Source organism: Homo sapiens, chromosome 7, assembly GCF_000001405.40.
Source record: "Homo sapiens chromosome 7, GRCh38.p14 Primary Assembly".
Lineage (NCBI taxonomy): Eukaryota > Metazoa > Chordata > Mammalia > Primates > Hominidae > Homo > Homo sapiens.
This window is the reverse complement of record NC_000007.14, coordinates 14,705,115-14,730,521: the sequence shown is the minus strand read 5'-3', so window position 1 is coordinate 14,730,521 and position 25,407 is coordinate 14,705,115. Positions and strand designations below refer to the sequence as shown.

At 35.9% G+C, this 25,407-nt stretch overlaps 1 protein-coding gene across 26 annotated transcripts in view, besides 1 other annotated feature; it reads left to right on the top strand.

The window, feature by feature from the left end:
• Positions 1-25,407, top strand: part of DGKB (diacylglycerol kinase beta) — an 829,810-nt gene that overhangs the window by 244,337 nt on the left and 560,066 nt on the right. For 25 of the 26 annotated variants that reach the window (XR_001744571.2, NM_001350722.2, NM_001350711.2 and 22 more), the window contains one exon: positions 11,837-11,980. Coding sequence is in view for 24 of the 26 variants with exons in the window: in NM_001350722.2 (NP_001337651.1) it covers positions 11,837-11,980 (144 nt within the window). In the remaining 2 variants the exon portion in view is untranslated. Of the gene's footprint in view, positions 1-11,836; positions 11,981-25,407 lie in introns of those variants that run through there. The other variant, XM_047419929.1, reaches the window with a different exon arrangement.
• Positions 16,012-16,071: an enhancer, noted in NCBI's record as "active region_25668". NCBI's record gives its function as "activates an Ori minimal core promoter by ATAC-STARR-seq in GM12878 lymphoblastoid cells {active_cell/tissue: GM12878}" and the evidence as "EXISTENCE:reporter gene assay evidence [ECO:0000049][PMID:35858748]".

Genomic DNA, 25,407 nt, shown 5'->3' with positions numbered 1-25,407 from the left:
TTTTCTTACATAATGTTTCTTTGCCCTTATCGCATGAAAACCCAATGCTTCCTTAAAGCCTCAGCTAAAGTGTCAGTCTTAATTAAATAGCACGCGGTGTGTTCCATACTAGGAATTCAATGATTAATAAGATGGCACACCTGGAGTGTGCAACTGGGAAGAAACCCTGGCACTCTGGTACTTTTACAAGACACCATTTGTCCCTTGTAGCATCCCTGTCCCTTCTCCATCGCCACCCATGCCAACTCCAACCATTTAGTATTCATTAACTGAATTAACTGCCTTCAGAGAAATTACCTTTCTTTACATATAAGATAGCAATCAACAGCAATTATTAGTAACTGTTAGTTTCTTTAATAATATAGTAATTAAAATAGGACGTAATATAGTATATTAACTCATTTAAACACTCATACTGTTTGTTTCTGTTGGACTACACAATGTCCAAAATGTTGCATCTGTAATAGAAAATGTCTGGTACTTGTTGCAGGTCAGCGTAACAGTTTTTGTTGTTGTTTCTTCCTAATTGTTTTATAAGAAAGAAAGAGAAGATTTTCCTAGCCCCCTTTAAATAATAATAGGCACTCAATTGATAGGTGTGCCATTTAGTAATTTATTTTATTCATTCATTAATTCATGCATCCTATCTATTTATTTAAACTCATTATATGCTAGAACTTCCACAGGAAAGCTGAGGATCCTTTAAAGTCAAGCAAAAAGATGAACAATTATGTGTTCAGTTATATTATAATAAAATAAATATTGTAAACCACTTTTGAACTGACTATGTGGAGAAAAGAGTGAGGTGCCTACAGGAGCCCAAATAAAACTAGAGGAAAAGAGGAGGTGAACCGTTGCAGGAGTCATCCAGTGTAAATTGGAGTTATCCAGGTAAAGTTGGAGAGGGGAGTAAGTAAGGGTGGGAAAGGATGTGAAAGGAGTTCCAAGGAGAGAAATCAACATACACATTTCTATTCAAAAATTTTTTAATGTCCCATCAAAGGGCAATGTATGAACTGTAAGACATTCAGTATTCATAGATTCAAAATTCATCACTTATAAATTGATATTTACTGTTCAAGTTGTTAGGGATACATCAGTGAGCAAAATGATGGCTCGTGCCTGTAATCCCAGCACTTTGGGAGGCCAAGGTGGGCGAATCACAAGGTCAGGAGATCGAGACCATCCTGGCTAACACGGTGAAACCTGGTCTCTACTAAAAATACAAAAAATTAGCCGGATGTGGTGGCAGGCGCCTGTAGTCCCAGCTACTCGGGAGGCTGAGGCGGGAGAATGGCGTGAACCCAGGAGGCGGAGCTTGCAGTGAGCCGAGATGGCGCCACTGCACTCCAGCCTGGGCAACAGAGTGAGACTCCATCAAAAAAAAAAAAAAAAAAAGAAAGAAAATGAAACCCGTTTCCATTCTAGTGGGGAGAGGCAGACATACAGAAAAGTAAATACGTGTACCATATCAGATGGTAGTAAGTAGTATTGGCAAAAATGTATACAAAAAGAGGCTGGAGCCTTGGCACAGTGGTTCATGCTTGTAATCCTAGCACTTTGGGAGGCTGAGGTGGGGGGATCACAAGGTCAGGAGTTTGAGACCAGCCTGGCCAACATAGTGAAACCCGTCTTTACTAAAAATACAAAAATCAGCTGGGCGTGGTGGTGCACACCTGTAATCCTAGTTACTCGGGAGGCTGAGGCAGGAGAATTGCTTGAGCCTGGGAGGCAGAGTTGCAGTGAGCTGAGATGGCGCCACTGCACTCCAGCCTGCACGACAGAGCGAGACTCCATCTCAGAGAAAAAAAAAAAAAAAGGAGGCTGGAAAGTGCAGCTTGAGGCTGAAGATGACTGGGAATGTGGGATCCTCATGATTCACTTAAACTAAGATAGGAGTTCAAAAAGGTCATTTCTGTTCATCCCAGAGCAGATGATGCTCATGACCTTGTAAGTATCGGGCATGGCCTGGAGTGGAATGAGGAAAGAGGGCCTGGCAAGGTCAAAGCCCCAAGGACCTTAGGAGACTGGAGGAAGATAGACTTGTTAGGAGCACTGAGAGGTCTGGATCTGGCCTGGACTCCAGTTGTGCTTCTGCAGAAGAGGCGAGAGAGGTAGCCAAGGCCAGGTGGGGAAGAGTTTTGCCTGTCATGCTAAGTTGTGAATTTTATCCAGAAGAAATCGGAAAGCCATTATGAGATTTTAAGCCAGAAAATAATTACACTGCTAGTGAGGTGGCAGCTATCATGAAGGAGAATGAGGCTGACGGTATAAAAGGGTCCAGAAGATATTTCAGATTGAGAGTAGTAACAGCTATCTCTGAAAAAAATTAGATGCCTTATCATTGGTCCCCAACTCTCCCATTGCTTGTTTGATGAGGCAATGGTTAATTTGCACTGTGATGCTACACATATCAATAAGCTATAATATCAATAGGAGGATTATGTCATTTTATGTTTTCTGTGCATTTGAGTCACGCCCCAAGTACTTATTTTAGATAGAAAAGGAAAATGTCTGTCAGGAAGTTAATCAATTAAGAACAGAAAATTGTACAATGAGAATGAGATACTTGAACCTTGGGAGAAATGTTCTTTCACCAAATAGACTTACTGAATGTTCTTGCTGAAAGGTATACTTCATTAATTGTGCTGAGAAGATATTTCTCTTATTAGGACTGTCTTGAGGATATTAAATATATATGTGTGTATGTGTATTTTTTATTACTGTGCTGTACCTTAACAGGTCTTTTATAACTGATCAGTTATTTCAGTTTCCACAATGCAAACAAGGAAAGTCAGGGTCCCCAAAACACAAACTGAACAGACTACATAGCTTGTGTGACTATGAGATAGGGGAATTCCTGACACATAGTAGATATTTAAAATATATTGGTGTATTTCTTAATGTCGATATACTTATTACTGTTGAGGTAATAAACTTACTGACACAGAAATGCTCCAGGAATACAGATGAAATAAATTCTGTCTACTGGCCAATTCATATTTATTTATATCAACCTTTACATTTGATGTACCTCTGTAGTATTGAATTCATACTTCTAATTATTGTCATTAGAAGTAATGATCCACAGATTATTTTACTTCAAAAAATATTTTATCCTGCCAACCTCTTCCTTGCAATAATTTTGTGGTCCTGTTTTTAACATAATTACTGCCAGTAAGGGATGATTTCTCTTCAAGTCTCTCCTTTAATCATTAAATGGTTTTTAATATGTTAGACTTGAATAATCAGGTTTCTTTTTTCTTCCATCTGAATATTCCAAGTAAAATTTGGTCCTCAAATTTTCCACCTTTACTTTATTATTAGATTTATTCACCCAACACACAGGAGTTTCTGTATTTTCATTTTCATCTTAATGGTTGCATACTAAATAATAGTGTTGTCTTAACATTTTTGTACTTTCATGTTCAAAAATATTTATTTACAGTTTGTAATATTCTAGCAAAAGGAAATAAGAGATTTAATACCCTGCAGAGGCCCAAATCCATCATAACATTATTTCACTCATAAAAACACCTAGTCATAGCTAGAAAATATGCAATGGTGTTGGACACTTGCTTTGATCCCCTGGAATGAAAGCTCTGTGGAAATGGGATTTTCCTGCTTTGTTCCATGCTTTATCCTCAGTACCTGGGGTCTGGTTTTACATGACTAATCTTAAGGGTCCTGAATATTTATTGTGTTTATGATTATAAAGGGCTAGTTGTATATCTATCAAAAACACAGATGAGCAATAAGAAAAATCATACGTAAAGATTTGGCAAATATATGTGCATGTTTACACATGCAAGCACACATATAAATACATGTTCACAAACATATTATGATGGATGGCCCAAGACATGGGCCAAATGGAAGATGAAAATTTAGAGTTCTTAGCTCTGGCTATGGTTTCTAATTTTCTTTCAAATGTTTATGATTTAATCAATGTATCCACCCTTAAGAGTCTTGAAAACCAGACTCTTAAAACAAAGGTCTTTTATTGAGAGGCAGAAGACAGTTTCCTCTGATTTATTTTTCTCTGTCCAGCCTCACAGAATCATGCTTAGAGTATAAAACTCCGATTCTGGCCGGGCACGGTGGCTCACGTCTGTAATCCCAGCACTTTGGGAGGCCATGGATCACCTGAGGTCAGGAGTTAGAAACCAGCCTGGCCAACATAAAAAAACCCCGTCTCTACTAAAAATACAAAAATTAGCTGGGTGTGGTGGCAGGTGCCTATAATCCCAGCTACCTGGGAGGCTGAGGCAGGAGAATCGCTTGAACCTGGGAGGCAGAGGTTGCCATGAGCCCAGATTGCGCCACTGCACTCCAGTCTGGGCGACAGAGTGAGACTCCATCTCAAAAATAAATAAATAAATAAATAAAAATAAATAAATAATAAAACTCCAATTCAGACTGCATTTTGAGTCGTACCTGTGCAACTTGTTCTCTCCTCTGTTTTCTTAGATGTAAAATGGGGATAATATGTGTATGTATTTTATTAACTATTGTGAGACTGAAGAAAAACAGGATACATGTACTTCATTTGAAATAGTATTGTGTACATTATAAATGCTTAATAAATGCCAGTCATTACCATTATTCATTAAATAAATTATGTTTCAATGTTTTGGTGTGCATACATAGCATAAAGTTCAATTTCAACATATTGGTTGCGCGTGGTTGCTCACCCCTGTAATCCCAGCACTTTGGGAGGCTGAGGTACAGAGATCACTTGAGGTCGGGAGTTTGAGACCAGCCTGGCCAACATGGTGAAACTCCGTCTCTACCAAAAAATACAAAAATTAGCTGGATGTGGTGGCTGACACCTGTAATTCCAGCTTCTTGGAGGCTGAGGTGGGAGAATCTCTTGAACCCTGGAGGTGGAGGTTGTAGTGAACATGCCACTGCACTCCAGCCTGGGCATCAGAGAGTGAGACCCTATCTCAAAAAAAAAAAAATCAACATATCCTTTTTGTTTTAAAGATATTATACATTCTGAACAATATCTGTACAGTGAAATTTAAGGAGATTATTGGAATTTCTTTTCATGTGATAAATACAGAAAATTTGGCATCATGGGCTCTTTTAATATGTGGTGGTTTAATTATTTTTGTCCCATACTTATATATATTCAAATTACTGAGAATAATTTAAATAACTTTCAATTATCCATCTGCATACAGTATAGAGCCTGCACAACCTGATATGGTAGCCACTAGCTATCCACTGCTATTTAAATTTAAATTCATTAATAATTTTGGTCAAATAGACATAGGTAGTTAATTTTATTGTATTGAAGAGTGCAGAAAGTTTTTTTGTTTTTTGTTTTCTGTTTTTTGTTTTCAAGAGACAGAATCTTGCTCTGTTTGTTGCCCAGACTGCAGTGGTGTGATCATAGCTTACTGTAACTTTGAATTGCTGGGCTCAAGTGATCCTCTTGCTCAGCCCCCTAGGTAGCTGGGACTACAAATGCATGCCACCCCAAATGGGTAATTAAAAATTTTTTTTTATAGAGATGAAGTTTCCCTATTTTGCCCAGGTTGGGCTCAAACTCCTGGACTCAAATGATCTTTTTGCCTTGGCCTCCCAAAACACTAGGATTACAGGTGTGAACCACTGAACTCAGCCTTCAGAAAATTTTATTGGATAACACTGGTGTAGACAGATCTCATTTTTACTGCTTTTAAAAAGAGTCCAAAGTTTGGAATGAGATGATTTGTCTTCACCTTTTTGCTCCGTTGACTGACTGGTATATGATCACGAACAGTTTACTTACTGACTTTCCACTTTCTCATCTTTAAAACAGAATTGTAGGGTCAAATAAGACCACTGTACAAAAGTATTGTTTGCACACAACCAGAGCTGTTATTAATGTTGTTCCTTCACAGAGGTTACTCTGCTCTTAAAACGTTATCCCCAAAGACCTATACTTTAAGTCCTTCTCCCTGTAATTGCTTGTTTGGGGTTTTTGCCAATGTCCAAACAGATGAAAACCAGAGTATGTTCTCAGAGAGGTTTGTCTGATCCCAGTTTCATATCAGGGACTGTATCTCACAGTCTGTCTTCTCTTTATAAGGAATCACCATCTCTATTACATTTCTTATTCACTGAAAATGCCATCTACCTAATTTTGCTGCCGGTTTGGGTAAACATAAAGAATGAAAGATAATTATAATATACTACAACAAGCATAGTTGAAAGATTAAGTGTAAAAATCATGAAATATATGACAATACTAATATCAACTATTTTTATTCTGATTATCTATGCTACTCATTATGACCAATAGTATGGATGTTGGAAATATAATTATACTATGTGATAAATAAATCTGATACGTTTCTGTAAATTGAACCAATATTTTAAAAGAAAAAGCTAAATTGCCAGTGTTGTATTGCCTTATAAATTTAGAAATGTGATCCATGTTATTGTTTTTGACTATTTCATTAAGAAATAGAGAAAATGTCACTGTTTACATTATATGAAATGCAAGTGTTTGAAAATGAAACAAACTGGACCAGAGGCACTAATTTAACAGCTACCCAAAACTTATCTGCTAATAATTGAACCTGAAGCTGGAATTAAAATTATCTATTAAATACAACTTTTGAGGTTATTGTTTCAAGAAATGAAGTGTCTAGATTGGAGTATAATGAAAATCATGTGCTTAGAAATGTGATAATCATAGGCAACATTCGATATGACTAATGCTAACTACTTTTTATAACTAAAGCTTTGAAGAAAAGAATGTGTATGTGTGTATGTATGTATGTGTATATATAATGAACTTATTTTAACAGAAATAAATGCTAAGTACAAGATAATTATTCCTAAAAGACTAATACGCTCTAATTACAATGCTTACTTTTCACTTTATTTTGTACTATTGTAGTATATACATACACATATATATGTGTGTGTATGTGTATATACACACACACACACATATATATACACACACACACATTTGCTTCACTTTTGTGATGAAATATTTAAAGTAGTATAGCCTAGGGCAAGTAGAAGAATCTGCAGATTATACTACTTTAAGTGTCAATTGCAATATTTACTCTGAAGCAATATTTAGCTCTGATCACTTGAGGCCAAAAAACAAACAAACCCTTTTGTTTTGCCCAGCTTTATGTTTCATTTTAGTTGTAAAGAGAGAATTTCACTGATGACTGGGTGTGTAAAATTGGCCTTTGTTAATTAAAAATAGAATTTTGAGCTTCCTCACCAGAGGCTATTGCTGCTAGAAAGGATCTCACTTACTATTTCATGTTATCATTTTACCATCTCAGCTGTAGTCAAGAAGTCAGGCTTGCAACTTTTTGGTTGCCGTACATGTTGTCTCCTAAGCTTCTGAATAACCATTAGATTAGTGCAAACTTCTTAAAAGGAAAAAGGACTTTTTTCAGGGTAGTGAACTGCAATCGAGGAAGATAAGTAGTGAGCTTCAGCCAGATTTAGGGAAAGGGCAAAAGAAAAAAAAATGAATAAATAAATAAATAAATAAATAAAGGGTAGAGTAGGGTGTAAAAATAACTCCTGTGGAGATAGATTGAGGACCAGGGTCTGCTTTCAGAAAACTAAATGAAAATATAATATAAAGAAACATTTAAAAAAAGTGGGCTGATCTTGGGGAGGTGGTAGGAGCAGGAATAAATCTGTGAGTTTTTTTATTTTTATTTATTTATTTATTTATTTTTGAGACAGTTTCACTCTGCCGCCCAGGCTGGAGTGCAGTGGCATGATCTTGGCTCACTGCAACCTCCACCTCCTGGGTTCCAGCGATTCTCCTGCCTCAACCTCCCAAGTATCTGGGACTACAAGCATGTACCACCGCGCCCAGCTAATTTTTGTATTTTTAGTAGAGACGAGGTTTCACCATGTTGGCCAGGATGTTCTCGATCTCTTCACCTTGTGATCCTCCCACCTCGGCTTCCCAAAGTGCTGGGATTGCAGGCATGAGTTCCGGTGCCTGGCCAAGCTTTTTTATTAATTAAACACCTCAAAATTTAATCAAGTTGATGAATGCATAAACTGTAGTACATCCAGACAATGCAATGTTATTCAGTGATAAAAAGAAATGAGCTATCAGGCCATAAGAAGACATGGAGGAAATGTAAATGCATATTAATAACAGAAAAAAGCCAGTCTAAATAGCCAGTCTGTATGATTTCAGCTCTATGACACTATGGGAAAGGCAAAATCCGGGAGAAAATGAAAGGTTCAGAGATTGTTGGGAGGGCAGAGATAAATAAACAGAGTAGAAATATTTTAGGGCAGTGAAACTTCTCTGAAAGACACTATAATGGTAGACACTTCATTATACACCTGTCCAAACTCATAGAATATACAACAAAAAGAGAACCCTAATGTATATTATAGAGATTGGATAGTAATGAGGTGTCAATGTAGTTTAACCAGTTGTAACTAACGTACTACTTTGGTGGAGAATGTTGGTAGTGGGGAGGAATATGCATGTGTAGTGGGTAATAACTTTATAAACAGAAGTAGAATTAATGTGAAACACAGAGAGATATTTGAAGTAAGCAAGACTTGAGTGAAGAAAATGAAGGAAAGATATAAAGCAGTGTTCAATCTCTGTACAGTCTCAATTTTGTTGTGAGCCTCAAACTTTTTAAAAAAGAATAGTTTTAAAGAATTAAGTCCTGTTCTACAATTTTCTTTTTATCAAGTAATAATAATAAAAGGTCTTTGACATTTTATCTTCTTCTTCAGTGCACTCTATAAATCATTCCAAAAATATATATTTTACCTCTCAAATTTGGCTGCTATTGGACTTAAGGAAGAGTTGATTAGTTCTTCAATGTATAGATTGAATATATGCCCATATTTCTTTTATATAAGCTTTAAGCTATTTAAATGTAAAACTGTGACACAATTAAATATGTGATACAGCTTTAATATTCAGTTAATAATATTTCATGGAAATAAATACATGATACAGCTTTAAATATTCATTTAACCGTATTCCATGTGATAAATACATGATACAGCTTTAAGTGTTCAGTTAACAATATTTCATGAAAAGAAAATGGAAAATATTACTCATTTTTCCAAACAAAAATAATTTTAGTACAGTAGCATATTCCTTCAAAAACGTGATGCTAAATACAAATTATATGTGTACATTCATACTCGATTTATACATTACATACAGAAAAGACAAAATTATGTGATCCTTACGTTCTCAATTGTTTGTGTTCAGTATGGTGAAAGCTGATAATTAAACACCATCTACCTTAGTTGTATAAGTACAAATGGTCATGCCATGTTCTAAATAAGTGAAGATCTATAATATATTTGGCTTTCTTTCAAATAAATGTCAGAGCATATTCTTTTCTTTCTTTTTTGTTTTGTTCTGAATTTTTCTATAAAGGAGTTAAATCAAGCTGATTAAATCATTTCAGTACCACAGGGGGAAACATTGGAAAAGAGGATTAGCTCATCAGCAGGATGAGTTAGGTCATAGCTTATCCGACCATAATTCAAGTGCTGTGTTCTCCAAGTCTGAAAGTTATGGTCATGTCAAGGGTCAGCGCCAAAATGTTTTTTATCATAAGTTGGAACTGCTTATTCCTGCAGCTGGCTAAGCTTTAGTTGGCTAGTTTCAATTATTCCGGTCTTTTTTTTTTTTTTTTTAAAGCTCAGGATTGTCTTCAATTCCCTGCCTTCTTTGGTTCATAAATAACTATTAGTTTGTATTAGACATACACTGATACTTCTATTAAAAAGGAAATTCCGTTTACAATATATGTCTCTGTTGATAACTTTATAAACAGAAGTAGAATTAATGTAAAACATAAAGCCACATTTGAAATAAATAAGACTTCATTTTAAAAAGAAAGGGGCCGGGCATGGTGGCTCACGCCTGTAATCCCAGCACTTTGGGAGGCCGACGTGGATGGATCATGAGGTCAGGAATTCGAGACCAGCCTGACCAACATGGTGAAACACCATCTCTACTAAACATACACACACACACACACACACACACACACACACACACACACACACAAATCAGCCGGGCGTGGTGTCCCGCACCAGTAATCCCAGCTACTCAGGAGGCTGAGGCAGGAGAATCACTTGAACCCAGGAGGCAGAGGTTGCAGTGAGCCAAGATCGCACCATTGCACTCCAGCCCCTGGGTTACAGAGCGAGACTCCATCTCAAAAAAATAAAAAAAATTAAAAATAAAAAAGGATGGAAAGACCCAAAGCCGTGTTTTTTCAGACTGTGATTTTTGATCCATTGGTGGCTAGTAAACTCAATTTAGATGGTGTTTGAGAAAAATTTTCAGAATAGGATAGAATATGAGTAGGTTAATATAGAAAAGAAAATATTTGGGCAATTATGAATCCCACTAATGTGTGTGTGCGTGTGTGTGCGTGCGTGCGTGTGTGTGTGCTGTGTTAAGATGTAAATTATTTTTCTTACACTTTTATGATTGGCCTTGAACAAAAATAGTTTGTAAGCTACCACTGTAGAAACAGGAAGATGGATTTGTCTTGCTGGTTATGAAACTCTGGGAAGTTAAAATCTGTAAGACGGTCCCTAATCTGTAAAGTGGGGAAAATGCACTCTACCTCACAGCGTTCACGTAAGAATAATGTGAGATAATATGTGTTAAAGCTACTACCATGATTTCAGCCACATATTAGGCACTCAGTAAATAGTTCCCTTTATTAGTGACAACATCACCAATGATAAAACTAACTTGGGACATATCACAACACATTGAATTATATGCCTGGGAATCTTGAGATGGCTTGACGAGGTGATAGGTATTCATGGAAAGTTACAAATTGAAAAACTAAAGTAGAGTGAGACATACGCAGTCAGGTAGATCTGTGCTAAGAACAGGGTTCTAGAACTGTGTTTGGTTCAAATTATTCCTTACAGTAGCTCCTGGTTGATTAGGAATCTAGTAGCCACTCAACCCATTAGTTATTTCTCCCAAATACCTCTAAAAATGCCATATATCCCTCAAGGGATAATTGCGGTTTATCTTCAGGCCTTGTCAGATACACACAATCTGACTTCAGTGGCTTCTGGGTAAGACAGAACTAACAAGTTACTGTGAACATATTTCGGTTAGATTATCACCAGACAGGTAATAAGCAACCTATATCCTTGTGATAGAACAGACACAGATAATGGGTTTCAGAAATAAAGTCAGAACCATTTAAAAACCAAACCACTCATATGTTTTTACCTCTCTAATATCCATCATGTTTATCCAGAGTTTTGCTTATGTTCTCTTTATTCTTACTCCTGGGCAAGTCCCTTGATGGTAAAAAAGGATGTCTTCTTCATGGTATTGGCAAATATTTGAAACAAATATATGACTTTATGAATGGATGATTACTTATTATGAATAGAGAAATTATATTGTGAAAGACTGACATTTTTTTCTTTAGTATTTTGTGAAAAAGTCCATTTTAAATATCTTCCCAAATGATTTATAGCTGTCACTACCTAAAGCACAGAAAAGTGGAATAGGGAAGTGGGTCTTCAAGCATTCAAATGTGTACCAACTCACCTAGGGTAATATTATTCTGACCCAAATACCATCCGTGGCTGATAGGGCAGTGCCATGTCTGTGGATCCCAAAGAACTCTCCTTCATCTACAACAGTCGTAGGCTATGTCTAGCTGCTGTACCGATCTTACAGAGAATTTGGTTATTCTATGCCTAAAAAATATAAATTTCTATGTAGCCTGTGTGTTCTCTATTTTCTTAATTTGTTTTCTGTTTGAGATCACTGTAAATAATTAACAAAATATAAAGACAATTTTTTTTCCAGGTCTGAGAATGAATAAAGGTGCCATCACCCCTCCCCGGACTACTTCTCCTGCAAATACGTGTTCCCCAGAAGTAATCCATCTGAAGGACATTGTCTGTTACCTGTCTCTGCTTGAAAGAGGAAGACCTGAGGATAAGCTTGAGTGTATGTGTTTCTTCATTTTGTTTACTTATCGTGATTGGGGGCAGGAGAAAGGACTGGATATTGATTAACTTAAAATTGCATTAGTATAGTTGTATAATTTTTGTTGAATAAAGTGATCCTGCTTAATAGTAAAAATTTCCTCCTGCTGAGGATCAGACAAAAGATATTAAGATCTATTAATTTCAGGTTCTTATTTATCAAGTTCCATTTACTACTGATTATTTCCTATGTTTGTCATATGACTTTAAAAAGCTGTTCCTCAGTTCTCTGGAGTTAACAAGATGCTATTAGAAAATAGCCTTTGTGTTGTTTTCATAAAGCATGTATTTCTAGTGTGTGAAGAAACCTTCCCATTAGTGAGTAAGAAAATTGCCTGTAAATATGCAACCTGCACCTTTTCCCCAGTGGAAATCTCCCTTGCAATCTTCAGCACTAACACTCTTGTTGGCAGAGACACATTATTCCTCAAATGCTAAACCTGAAAGTGTCATTTATAGTATTTGATTCTGGATATTATAAATCATTAAACAATAGCTTTGTTTCTTAAATTTAGGACATGGCGGATAGAGAATTTCTATTCAGTTGAAAGTAAATAATTACTGTCTTTAATAAAACATAGTGACTGAGCTCTCTCTGGTGGCTAACTATACTCATTGCAATATAAGAAAATATTTTTCAAGCATTTACTCTAAACCTGATCATTTGATCATCTATTCTATCTCTGAGGTTCTTTCTAAATATAGTCCTGGCAGCTTACTCAATAACCTGATAAATTTGATTATATAAGATATGGTAAATTTAATGAAAAATGCTTGCTACTAGAATGATAGTGAAGATAACAAATCTAAACTTTAACACTTCTGAAGCAAATGTAAATAATCATGACGTCTCAGAATTATTATTGGGGGGCATTTTTAGTTAAATTTAGTAGTAACTTTTTGATAATATTTCTTCTTCCCATAAAGGATTTACTGTAATGTGATTATTTAAGAGTCACACATGCTTAGGTTATGAATAAACCATATGAATATCATCTTTAAATATATATTTATTATTCATAAATGTTCAATATTTGCATTTCAAGATTTATTTTGTATTCCTAAGAACTTACAGAAATCTGTCTCATTCCAAAGTAAATATTAATGTTCAGTGAATTTCTATTGAAGTGACAGCCAGAGAGAAAGTTTGCTCAGGTGTTATCAGGAGCACATTTGGGATGATTATAAACATATAAAGACAAACATTTTTTCCACATCTGAAAATGAATAAAGGCCCCATCCATCCTCCCCAAGATGGTATTTAGTCTTGCTGTTTAACTATTTCTAGGTCAGCTGGATGTATATTGCTTTTTAGGTGGAATTCCTAAGAAGAATGCTTTTGAGTTTTCCATGTGCATCCTTGAACCCACATAGATTTTGTCTACAGTTGCAGATAGAATGTTGACTCACCACACTATTCAAAAAGACATGATGAATCTCATCCACTGACCTGCCATTTACTTTTCTTTAGTGTTCTCAACCCCCTTCTCTCTGTTTTTTTCTTTGAGTTTCCCAGCTTTTTTTCAAGCTTACACTAGATGCATTGCCTTTTCCTTTTGTTTTAAACCATTTCTTCAGACTCTTCTTATAGGCAGTCTTGTTATGGCCCAGAATTATCACTATCATTTTCACCAAACTCTTCAAAATACATGATGCCGTAGGTCTCTTTTCTCCTATCTTCTAATCTGGTGATTCTTACCCTGGCTATACATCAGAATCATCCGAAGTTTGGTTTTCTTTCTTTTTCTTTTTTAATGCCAATGCCTGGCTCTTTCCTGTGTCAATTAAATAACAATCAATCTTCCTCATCCACTTTCTTAACAATTTACCACATATGTTTACCCTTCTAAAATTGCATATGTAAAAGTTACTAACATGTATTATTTTACAGTTACAGATTTTTAAAAACAAATTGTCAGTAAGACTTCAAAAATTTGTGTTGATTGTTAGTTTAATAAATACTCCAAAAGGATTACAATTTACTAAATACAATATAGACCAGAAGAATGAAAATAAGAAAAAGCAATTATAATTAACACAGAAACAGATGTGAACAAGTACCTAAAATTAACTTTTGCAGGTCAATGTTGAATTTGGCTCATACTTCCAGGGTAGCTAAGCAGAAAGAAATTTGATTTAGGTTAGAGGTTCTCAAACTTTATCACACATCAGAGTCACCTGCAGGACTGGTATATCTGATTCAGCTGGCCTGGGGTGGGATCTGAAAATGTGCATTTCTAACAAGTTTCCAGGTGATGCGGATGCTATTGTTCTAGGGATCACATTTTGAGAAGCACTGGCTTATGCAATTCCTTCTGTCCAGTGAAAACACATATACACAAGGAATTCACCTGACACAACAGTTGTTTTTCCTGGAGTTGATGAATAGTGGCAGTATTTGTTAGGTATTTTACCTGGGTTATTAGATAAACGAATTACACTGTTGTCAATGTTTATATAAGTAATACTTTGTTTCCCCAAATATTTTTAAAATCTATTCAGTGCCTCCCGCCACTTTCCATTGCCTGTCTTTTCTGCCAGGTATTTACACCATGTTTATTATAAAGCTTATTCCGTTAAAGAATAACAAACAAAAGTTCCCAAATGTTTTACTGATTACAGGAAGTCCTCACTTAACATCCTCAATAGGGTTTTGGAAGCTGTGACTTGAAGTTGAGAAATGTATATAACAAAACCACTTTTTGCTTATCAATGTTATAACAAAATGTCATAGAAGGAAAGGGTGTTATTCGAGAACCCTCTGTACATTGTTTTGCTTGAAGTCACAGTTTCCCAGTATCTAGCAATCATATTGAGGACTTACCATATAAGCCATGTCTTCAGCTTTATTTCCTTTATGCAATCCTAATTCTTCTCTCTGAGGACCTTCCCGTCCCAAGGCTCTATCAGGTAGAAGGTGTTTGTTACCCTTGGATGTGTGCTTTTGCATGCATGCATACGTGCATGTGTGCCTGTGTGTGTTGGGGTTGTGGGGAATTCCATTTTTATCTCTCCTTGTTGGTACCAATTACCAACAGCCTCTGTGAATGAACAAGGACATGGTCTCAGGGCTGATTTGCCCTTCTAACTTCAAGTGCTCCATAGTACTTTAGGGAAAGTCAACAACCTCTCTTTTACCCTCAAATCCTGTGGCTTTGCCTCCATTTTCTTTCAGCCATTCACTTCTGTTACAATACTCCAAGCCTTGTAACTGTCGAGAACTGCTATTATTCCAAAACTAAACTGTCAATTTTACTTTGATCCCAGCCTATGTTCACTTAACTTCTCACTTTCCTACTTTTAATTTAATTATTGCATAGTACAATAATTAAAAACCTTGACTCTTGATTTATAATGATTGAATGCAAACCCTAGGTTGAGAATTCACTGTCTCAGTGATCTGAGTTCATTTTTAAAACTTCCTCAGGACTCAGTTTTCTCAACTGTAAAATTGAGATCATTAAATAGTCTCTGTCCCATGGGATAACTATGAGGATTAGATTAAACTAGTATTTGTTCACATACATTCCTTCACACTTATTACTTCCCATAAATGCATGTTAGGTGAAATAAAAGTAAATTAAAACTGTTTTACTCTTGCCCACTTTACTCCCTCTTGAATTTGCTTGCTGACTTTTGGTTGCCCATCCTTTCAAATTTAAACTGATCTCATAATCCATGATGTCAATTAGTTTTTCACACTTAATTTCAGACATTCAACTTATTTGCTCCTATACTATACTGAGTGGCAGAGACTTAGTGAAATAAAAATATAATTCTTTGGGTTATAGCTCTACTCAAAACCTCAGCTGGCCTTCAGTGCTCAGTGTTTCTCTTGTCTAGTTTTCTAGTTAAAAATTAATCCAGATAATGTTTTTTTTTCCAAACACCTACCTATTTAATCATCATCTTACTCATTAAGTGTATGTTCTTGCAACTTCCTTTCATCTTACTTAAAACCTTATCAACTAACATACTTATTTTTTTTCTGTTTCTCTTCTGATTCAGAGTGAAAAATCCCCTTTGATAGTTCCTGATTTCATAATGCGTAAAATTGAAACCCTTAACTTGGCGTGCATACACCGATCTGACTCCACAGTTTGACCCCAACCTACTCTGCCAGGCTTGCTTTGGCTGTGACCTGCACACATATGCACAAACCATGTCCTAGTCACAAGGGTTAACTTTTCTATCATCAGACAAACCCTGAACTTTTCCACTTTGATCCCTTTGATTACAATGTGCAATTGCTGGGTTTCAACCCCCTGCCTCCCCACAGTGTATATTTGATTGAGTCTAGTCCACATTTGAGGCTTACCCTGCATCATGAATCTTCTTGCCATCTCCTAATTGGATTTATTTTGCTCTCTTTTGTACCCTTGCACCTACATCAGTGTGTGTGTGTGTGTGTGTGTGTGTGTGTGTGTTTCAACAGGTATATGCTCAATAAATGATAGTTAAATGGAAGTGTATTAAAGTCAATGGGTAAAAATAAAGTCAATGAGTGCTTGAAAATATAAAAATAACATCAACTATTTAAGATATTGAATAATACTAACTTTATATTTTTGACTTTAAAATACATGATATTCACTTTTGAATTTGTGCTTATCAAGTTATCAATTATTTAACAAGAATTTTTTATATTATCTTACATTTCCTTAAAATGTATCACTAAAGAGAAAATCAATAGGGAATCAATATTCAGAAAGTAGATAACTGACATATGGAGACTGAATAGTAAGCTACATGTTAAAAGTTACTTCCCTGTGCAGTATTAACCTTAGAAACTATGAGATTTAATAATGAAGAGACCTTAAAGACCATCTAGTCAACTTTCCTATAGTTTGACAATGAAAAAAAAAAAAAGACCAAGAGAGGGTGGTTATTAATTACACCACCAGTTTATCTAGCTATTACTAAAATCCATAATTTCTGAGCTACTTTATAGGGCTCTTTTTATTTTGAAAAGCTGTCTTTTGTTGTTCTTATTGTTGTTTCTCTTATGAATAAAAGGCGAAAATCTCTCTCCATTAAACTGGATGTCAAACACACCTAAGCAGCTGATTTTTTTCACCTCTGCTTTTAAAGTTTATTAAATCAGTATCAAAATATACAAGAGTGGAAAAAAGTGAATTAAAGAAATTCCAGCTTAAGTGCCTTTTCTAAATATATTTTACATTGTTTATATTAATAACATATATCATATAATGCTCATATCAACAACACATAATGGCAAGTGCAAAACACCAGAGTGTGTATAGTAGGATATATTCATTATGAAAACAGATAGAAACTTGCAAATCTTTTGGAAGGAAAAAAAATTTGGATATAAAAAATTATCTTGCATAATATGCCTTTGCTCTGATCTTTTAACTAAATACGTGTGTGGGCATAATTGTTTCTATATAAAGTGAAATGACATGAGCATAAAAATAGGAAAAAATGTGGGTTAAACTAGTTTATAACATTGAAGCAGGTATACCCATATTTGGAAGCTGTCGTGTTGTCAGAATAATTTTAACATTGGGCTTTTTAAATTTTTGCAGCCAAACAGCTATATATTTATTTTGTTTTTAAAAATATGATCCTTTTGTTCAGTGATTCCCTTGACCTTTGGGCCTGACTTTACTTTTGAATACTAAGAAATAGTCTTACTATATAATTTGAAAATTCAATATTAATAATGTCTATATTATTTTTAAATATAGTTTTAAAAGAGAAAGGTTTTATAGGCTCACCAGGCCAAACAACTTTTATTTTCCATGGAGTTAATAATTGCCTTTTTTCTTACTTAATTATTTTTCTTTCTATTTATTTATTTATTTATTTTGAGACACAGTCTCACTCTGTTTCCCAGGCTGGAGTGCAGTGGCACAGTCTTGGCTCCCTGCAACCTCTGCCTCCTGGGTTCAAGTGATTCTCCTGCCTCAGCCTCCCTAGTAGCTGGGATTACAGGCATGTGTCACTATGCCTGGCTAATTTTTGTATTTTAGTAGAGATGGGGTTTCACCATGTTGGTCAGGCTGCTCTTGAACTCCTGACCTCAAATATCCGCCCGCCTCATTTTCTCTATTTCTATAACTAATCAATTCCCAAATTCTCCACCATAAATTTATGTTCATAAACTTGCGTTCTTCATTTGTTCTTGAATATTTTCATTGATAATCACTTTCACCCTTTATTTTAGTTGTTCTCTTTCTAGAACCAATATTATTTGGATGCTGAACATCCAAGACAGAACTCTGAATTACTATTTTTTCTTGCTTTTTCTATTTTCCATCTTCTTTTCTTTCTTCTTATGTTTTTCACTCCATATCTGGGACATCTTTTATACCTGGTGATGAGATTTTTCCCACTTTTTCCTTACATTTAACTTCACAGAGAATCCATTTTATTCTCAGCTTGATCCTTATGTGTTCCTATTTGTATTTCATGGATTGAAACTTTCCTTTTAGTTATAAGGTTTCCCCTCCTCCCTGCTTTGTTGTTTTCTTCCAAACTACTTGTGTTGAAAGAACTTTTCTGATGGTAGTAGTTGTATAGGTGAGTATCCATACGGATGGTATTGACTTACTGGGGATAAGGAAAAGGACTTATTCTCTCAATATTCGGTATATTCGCTTTCACATAATTACCTTGTTTTGGTATTGTATCCTTATACTCAGAATTCCTGAGTACCTTTAGCCCAGAATTCCTTTCATTTCACTTTTGCAGAACTCAAAGATCTAGTCTTCTGTTGGGGAAGAGAGCTTACATACTCCCCAGAGATCATCCTGTGAAGATAATCTGTTAATTTTCCAACTCACCACCCTTTCTAAGCAAATCTATGCTTCTTCTCCTCTGCCAGCTTACATTTATATTTCTAAGACCTCTAAGTCAATATACATGTGTACATATTTTCTCCAGCTCCTGAAAATTGTGTTAGTGTTTTCTCCTCTCATATTTTATTTCTGCTTATAGATTTATACCTATTTCATCTCTTACTGTTACTATAGTGGTACTTCAATAGAAAACCAAGGTAAATATGTGTGTTCAATACTTCATGTTTTGCATTACCTAGCTACAATTTTAAATTAGAAAAGTAGACTTATCACTGAAAATTAAAGTCCTTGAATTTCTCTTTCTTCTTCTGGATGAAAGAAAAGTTCTATCCTTGACCTTGACTTGGTAATATTTAGAGTATATGGTACTTGGTACTCAATATATGTATGATATTTTTATTATTGTTATTATATTAACTAGAGCTTAAAACTCTCCAAACTTTCTTCCTTGATGAATTAGACAGGATTTATAGAGCATTAACTCTTGTTAATGTGTTTAGGAATAAATTATTTAAAATATTAGTTTCTTCAGTCACTAGTGAAGTAGGGATTTTCAGACCAACCTTCCTACTGGAATCAACTGGAAAATTTGGAACGAATGTGTATTTTAAAAACCTGTTCAAAATTTTCAGGGAAGTATCAAAGCAACTTGGATTTTTAGGGCAAATATTTGGGAGAAGGAAGCATGGCTTTTTCCATTTAATTAAAGAAATTAAAGTACAAGCCATTCATATATTTTTCCAGATAACAAGCAGAAAGGAAACAAGATATTAGCAATCAAGTACAGTTATATATGTAAAGTAGCTAAAATAACATGTCCAGGTTCAATTTGGGATTATTACAGGCATTTAAATTTGACTTAACTTTAGAAAATGAAACAATGTATTATGCCACATTAAGAGAATAAAGAAGAAAATCATAAAAGTATTTTATCACATTCCATATGCATTCTATTCATGATTAAAAACAAAACAACTGTAATAGCAAAAATTCTTAGCGAAATAAAAGTAGTATAGAACTCCATTAATCTAATAATGTGTATATATAAGAAACACCCATCAAACTTTATATTTAAGAGTGAAATATTGAAGTTTCTCTCATTGATATTGGGAACAAGACAAGAATGGCCACTACTCTAAGTATAGTTCAACTTTCTGTTGGAGATCATTGCTCATGGCAATAAGGCAAGAAAAATCCATGAAGTTTATGAGAATGGGAAAGAAGAAATTGAAATTCATTGTTTATTATAGACTACCCAGTAATCTATAGATAGATCAAGTACTTGAATTAATAAGTGTGTTTAGCAAGATCTATGCCTACAAGGTAGAAATAAAAATCACTTGTATTTCTGTATGACATCAACTAATAATAGGTAAATAAAATTTAAGAAATTTTACCATTTATCAAATCAAAATTTTTAAATACCTGGAAATAAATCTTTAAAAACTATTTGAAAGGTCTCTATACAGAACAATATGAAATATTATTGAGAGAAATTAAAGCTCTAAATAAAGAAGAATATAATATGGTTGTAGATTTCAAGACTCAGCATTTTAAAGATTCTCCCCCAAACAGATCTATAGGTTCAGTACAATCTCATTAGAAATCCAGCAGTGTTATTTTGGTTTGTTTTTCATTTTGTTTTGTAATAGGAGAAGAAAAGATTGGCAAACATTTTCTTTTTTTTTTCTTTTCTTTTCTTTTTTTTTTTTAATTATACTTTAAGTTTTAGGGTACATGTGCACATTGTGCAGGTTAGTTACATATGTATACATGTGCCATGCTGGTGCGCTGCACCCACTAACTCCTCATCTAGCATTAGGTATATCTCCCAATGCTATCCCTCTCCCCTCCCCCCACCCCACCACAGTCCCCAGAGTGTGATATTCCCCTTCCTGTGTCCATGTGATCTCATTGTTCAATTCCCACCTCTGAGTGAGAATATGCGGTGTTTGGTTTTTTGTTCTTGCGATAGTTTACTGAGAATGATGATTTCCAATTTCATCCATGTCCCTACAAAGGACATGAACTCATCATTTTTTATGGCTGCATAGTGTTCCATGGTGTATATGTGCCACATTTTCTTAATCCAGTCTATCATTGTTGGACATTTGGGTTGGTTCCAAGTCTTTGCTATTGTGAATAATGCCGCAATAAACATACGTGTGCATGTGTCTTTATAGCAGCATGATTTATAGTCATTTGGGTATATACCCAGTAATGGGATGGCTGGGTCAAATGGTATTTCCAGTTCTAGATCCCTGAGGAATCGCCACACTGACTTCCACAATGGTTGAACTAGTTCACAGTCCCACCAACAGTGTAAAAGTGTTCCTATTTCTCCACATCCTCTCCAGCACCTGTTGTTTCCTGACTTTTTAATGACTGCCATTCTAACTGGTGTGAGATGGTATCTCATAGTGGTTTTGATTTGCATTTCTCTGATGGCCAGTGATGATGAGCATTTTTTCATGTGCCTGTTGGCTGCATAAATGTCTTCTTTTGAGAAGTGTCTGTTCATGTCCTTCGCCCACTTTTTGATGGGGTTGTTTGATTTTTTCTTGTAAATTTGTTTGAGTTCATTGTAGATTCTGGATATTAGCCCTTTGTCAGATGAGTAGGTTGCGAAAATCTTCTCCCATTTTGTAGGTTGCCTGTTCACTCTGATGGTAGTTTCTTTTGCTGTGCAGAAGCTCTTTAGTTTAATTAGATCCGATTTGTCAATTTTGGCTTTTGTTGCCATTGCTTTTGGTGTTTTGGACATGAAGTCCTTGCCCATGCCTATGTCCCGAATGGTAAAGCCTAGGTTTTCTTTTAGGGTTTTTATGGTTTTAGGTCTAACGTTTAAATCTTTAATCCATCTTGAATTGATTTTTGTATAAGGTGTAAGGAAGGGATCCAGTTTCAGCTTTCTACGTATGGCTAGCCAGTTTTCCCAGCACCATTTATTAAATAGGGAATCCTTTCCCCATTTCTTGTTTTTCTCAGGTTTGTCAAAGATCAGACAGTTGTAGGTATGCGGCGTTATTTCTGAGGGCTCTGTTCTGTTCCATTGATTTATATCTCTGTTTTGGTACCAGTACCATGCTGTTTTGGTTACTGTAGCCTTGTAGTATAGTTTGAAGTCAGGTAGTGTGATGCCTCCAGCTTTGTTCTTTTGGCTTAGGATTCACTTGGCGATGCCGTCTCTCTTTTGGTTCCATATGAACTTTAAAGTAGTTTTTTCCAATTCTGTGAAGAAAGTCATTGGTAGCTTGATGGGGATGGCATTGAATCTGTAAATTACCTTGGGCAGTATGGCCATTTTCACGATATTGATTCTTCCTACCCATGAGCATGGAATGTTCTTCCATTTGTTTGTATCCTCTTTTATTTCCTTGAGCAGTGGTTTGTAGTTCTCCTTGAAGAGGTCCTTCACATCCCTTGTAAGGTGGATTCCTAGGTATTTTATTCTCTTTGAAGCAGTTGTGAATGGGAGTTCACTCATGATTTGGCTCTCTGTCTGTTGTTGGTGTATAAGAATGCTTGTGATTTTTGTACATTGATTTTGTATCCTGAGACTTTGCTGAAGTTGCTTATCAGCTTAAGGAGATTTTGGGCTGAGACAATGGGGTTTTCTAGATATACAATCATGTCGTCTGCAAACAGGGACAATTTGACTTCCTCTTTTCCTAATTGAATACCCTTTATTTCCTTCTCCTGCCTAATTGCCCTGGCCAGAACTTCCAACACTATGTTGAATAGGAGTGGTGAGAGAGGGCATCCCTGTCTTGTGCCAGTTTTCAAAGGGAATGCTTCCAGTTTTTGCCCATTCAGTATGATATTGGCTGTGGGTTTGTCATAGATAGCTCTTATTATTTTGAAATACGTCCCATCGATACCTAATTTATTGAGAGTTTTTAGCATGAAGGGTTGTTGAATTTTGTCAAAGGCTTTTTCTGCATCTATTGAGATAATCATGTGGTTTTTGTCTTTGGCTCTGTTTATATGCTGGATTACATTTATTGATTTGCGTATATTGAACCAGCCTTGCATCCCAGGGATGAAGCCCACTTGATCATGGTGGATAAGCTTTTTGATGTGCTGCTGGATTCGGTTTGCCAGTATTTTATTGAGGATTTTTGCATCAATGTTCATCAAGGATATTGGTCTAAAATTCTCTTGTTTGGTTGTGTCTCTGCCCGGCTTTGGTATCAGAATGATGCTGGCCTCATCAAATGAGTTAGGGAGGATTCCCTCTTTTTCTATTGATTGGAATAGTTTCAGAAGGAATGGTACCAGTTCCTCCTTGTACCTCTGGTAGAATTCGGCTGTGAATCCATCTGGCCCTGGACTCTTTTTGGTTGGTAAACTATTGATTATTGCCACAATTTCAGCTCCTGTTATTGGTCTATTAAGAGATTCAACTTCTTCCTGGTTTAGTCTTGGGAGAGTGTATGTGTCGAGGAATTTATCCATTTCTTCTAGATTTTCTAGTTTATTTGCATAGAGGTGTTTGTAGTATTCTCTGATGGTAGTTTGTATTTCTGTGGAATCGGTGGTGATATCCCCTTTATCATTTTTTATTGCGTCTATTTGATTCTTCTCTCTTTTTTTCTTTATTAGTCTTGCTAGCGGTCTGTCAATTTTGTTGATCCTTTCAAAAAACCAGCTCCTGGATTCATTGACTTTTTGAAGGGTTTTTTGTGTCTCTATTTCCTTCAGTTCTGCTCTGATTTTAGTTATTTCTTGCCTTCTGCTAGCTTTTGAATGTGTTTGCTCTTGCTTTTCTAGTTCTTTTAATTGTGATGTTAGGCTGTCAATTTTGGATCTTTCCTGCTTTCTCTTGTGGGCATTTAGTGCTATAAATTTCCCTCTACACACTGCTTTGAATGCGTCCCAGAGATTCTGGTATGTTGTGTCTTTGTTCTCGTTGGTTTCAAAGAACATCTTTATTTCTGCCTTCATTTCGTTATGTACCCAGTAGTCATTCAGGAGCAGGTTGTTCAGTTTCCATGTAGTTGAGCGGCTTTGAGTGAGATTCTTAATCCTGAGTTCTAGTTTGATTGCACTGTGGTCTGAGAGATAGTTTGTTATAATTTCTGTTCTTTTACATTTGCTGAGGAGAGCTTTACTTCCAAGTATGTGGTCAATTTTGGAATAGGTGTGGTGTGGTGCTGAAAAAAATGTATATTCTGTTGATTTGGGGTGGAGAGTTCTGTAGATGTGTATTAGGTCCTCTTGGTGCAGAGCTGAGTTCAATTCCTGGGTATCCTTGTTGACTTTCTGTCTCGTTGATCTGTCTAATGTTGACAGTGGGGTGTTAAAGTCTCCCATTATTATTGTGTGGGAGTCTAAGTCTCTTTGTAGGTCACTCAGGACTTGCTTTATGAATCTGGGTGCTCCTGTATTGGGTGCATGTATATTTAGGATAGTTAGCTCTTCTTGTTGAATTGATCCCTTTACCATTATGTAATGGCCTTCTTTGTCTCTTTTGATCTTTGTTGGTTTAAAGTCTGTTTTATCAGAGACTAGGATTGCAACCCCTGCCTTTTTTTGTTTTCCATTTGCTTGGTAGATCTTCCTCCATCCTTTTATTTTGAGCCTATGTGTGTCTCTGCACGTGAGATGGGTTTCCTGAATACAGCACACTGATGGGTCTTGACTCTTTATCCAATTTGCCAGTCTGTGTCTTTTAATTGGAGCATTTAGTCCGTTTACATTTAAAGTTAATATTGTTATGTGTGAATTTGATCCTGTCATCATGATGTTAGCTGGTGATTTTGCTCGTTATTTGATGCAGTTTCTTCCTAGTCTCGATGGTCTTTACATTTTGGCATGATTTTGCAGTGGCTGGTACTGGTTGTTCCTTTCCATATTTAGCGCTTCCTTCAGGAGCTCTTTTAGGGCAGGTCTGGTGGTGACAAAATCTCTTAGCATTTGCTTGTCTGTAAAGTATTTTATTTCTCCTTCACTTATGAAGCTTAGTTTGGCTGGATATGAAATTCTGGGTTGAAAATTCTTTTCTTTAAGAATGTTGAATATTGGCCCCCACTCTCTTCTGGCTTGTGGGGTTTCTGCCGAGAGATCCGCTGTTAGTCTGATGGGCTTCCCTTTGAGGGGAACCCGACCTTTCTCTCTGGCTGCCCTTAACATTTTTTCCTTCATTTCAACTTTGGTGAATCTGACAATTATGTGTCTTGGAGTTGCTCTTCTCGAGTATCTTTGTGGCGTTCTCTGTATTTCCTGAATCTGAACGTTGGCCTGCCTTGCTAGATTGGGGAAGTTCTCCTGGATAATATCCTGCAGAGTGTTTTCCAACTTGGTTCCATTCTCCCCATCACTTTCAGGTACACCAATCAGACGTAGATTTGGTCTTTTCACATAGTCCCATATTTCTTGGAGGCTTTGCTCATTTCTTTTTATTCTTTTTTCTCTAAACTTCCCTTCTCGCTTCATTTCATTCATTTCATCTTCCATTGCTGACACCCTTTTTCCAGTTGATCGCATCGGCTCCTGAGGCTTCTGCATTCTTCACGTAGCTCTCGAGCCTTGGTTTTCAGCTCCATCAGCTCCTTTAAGCACT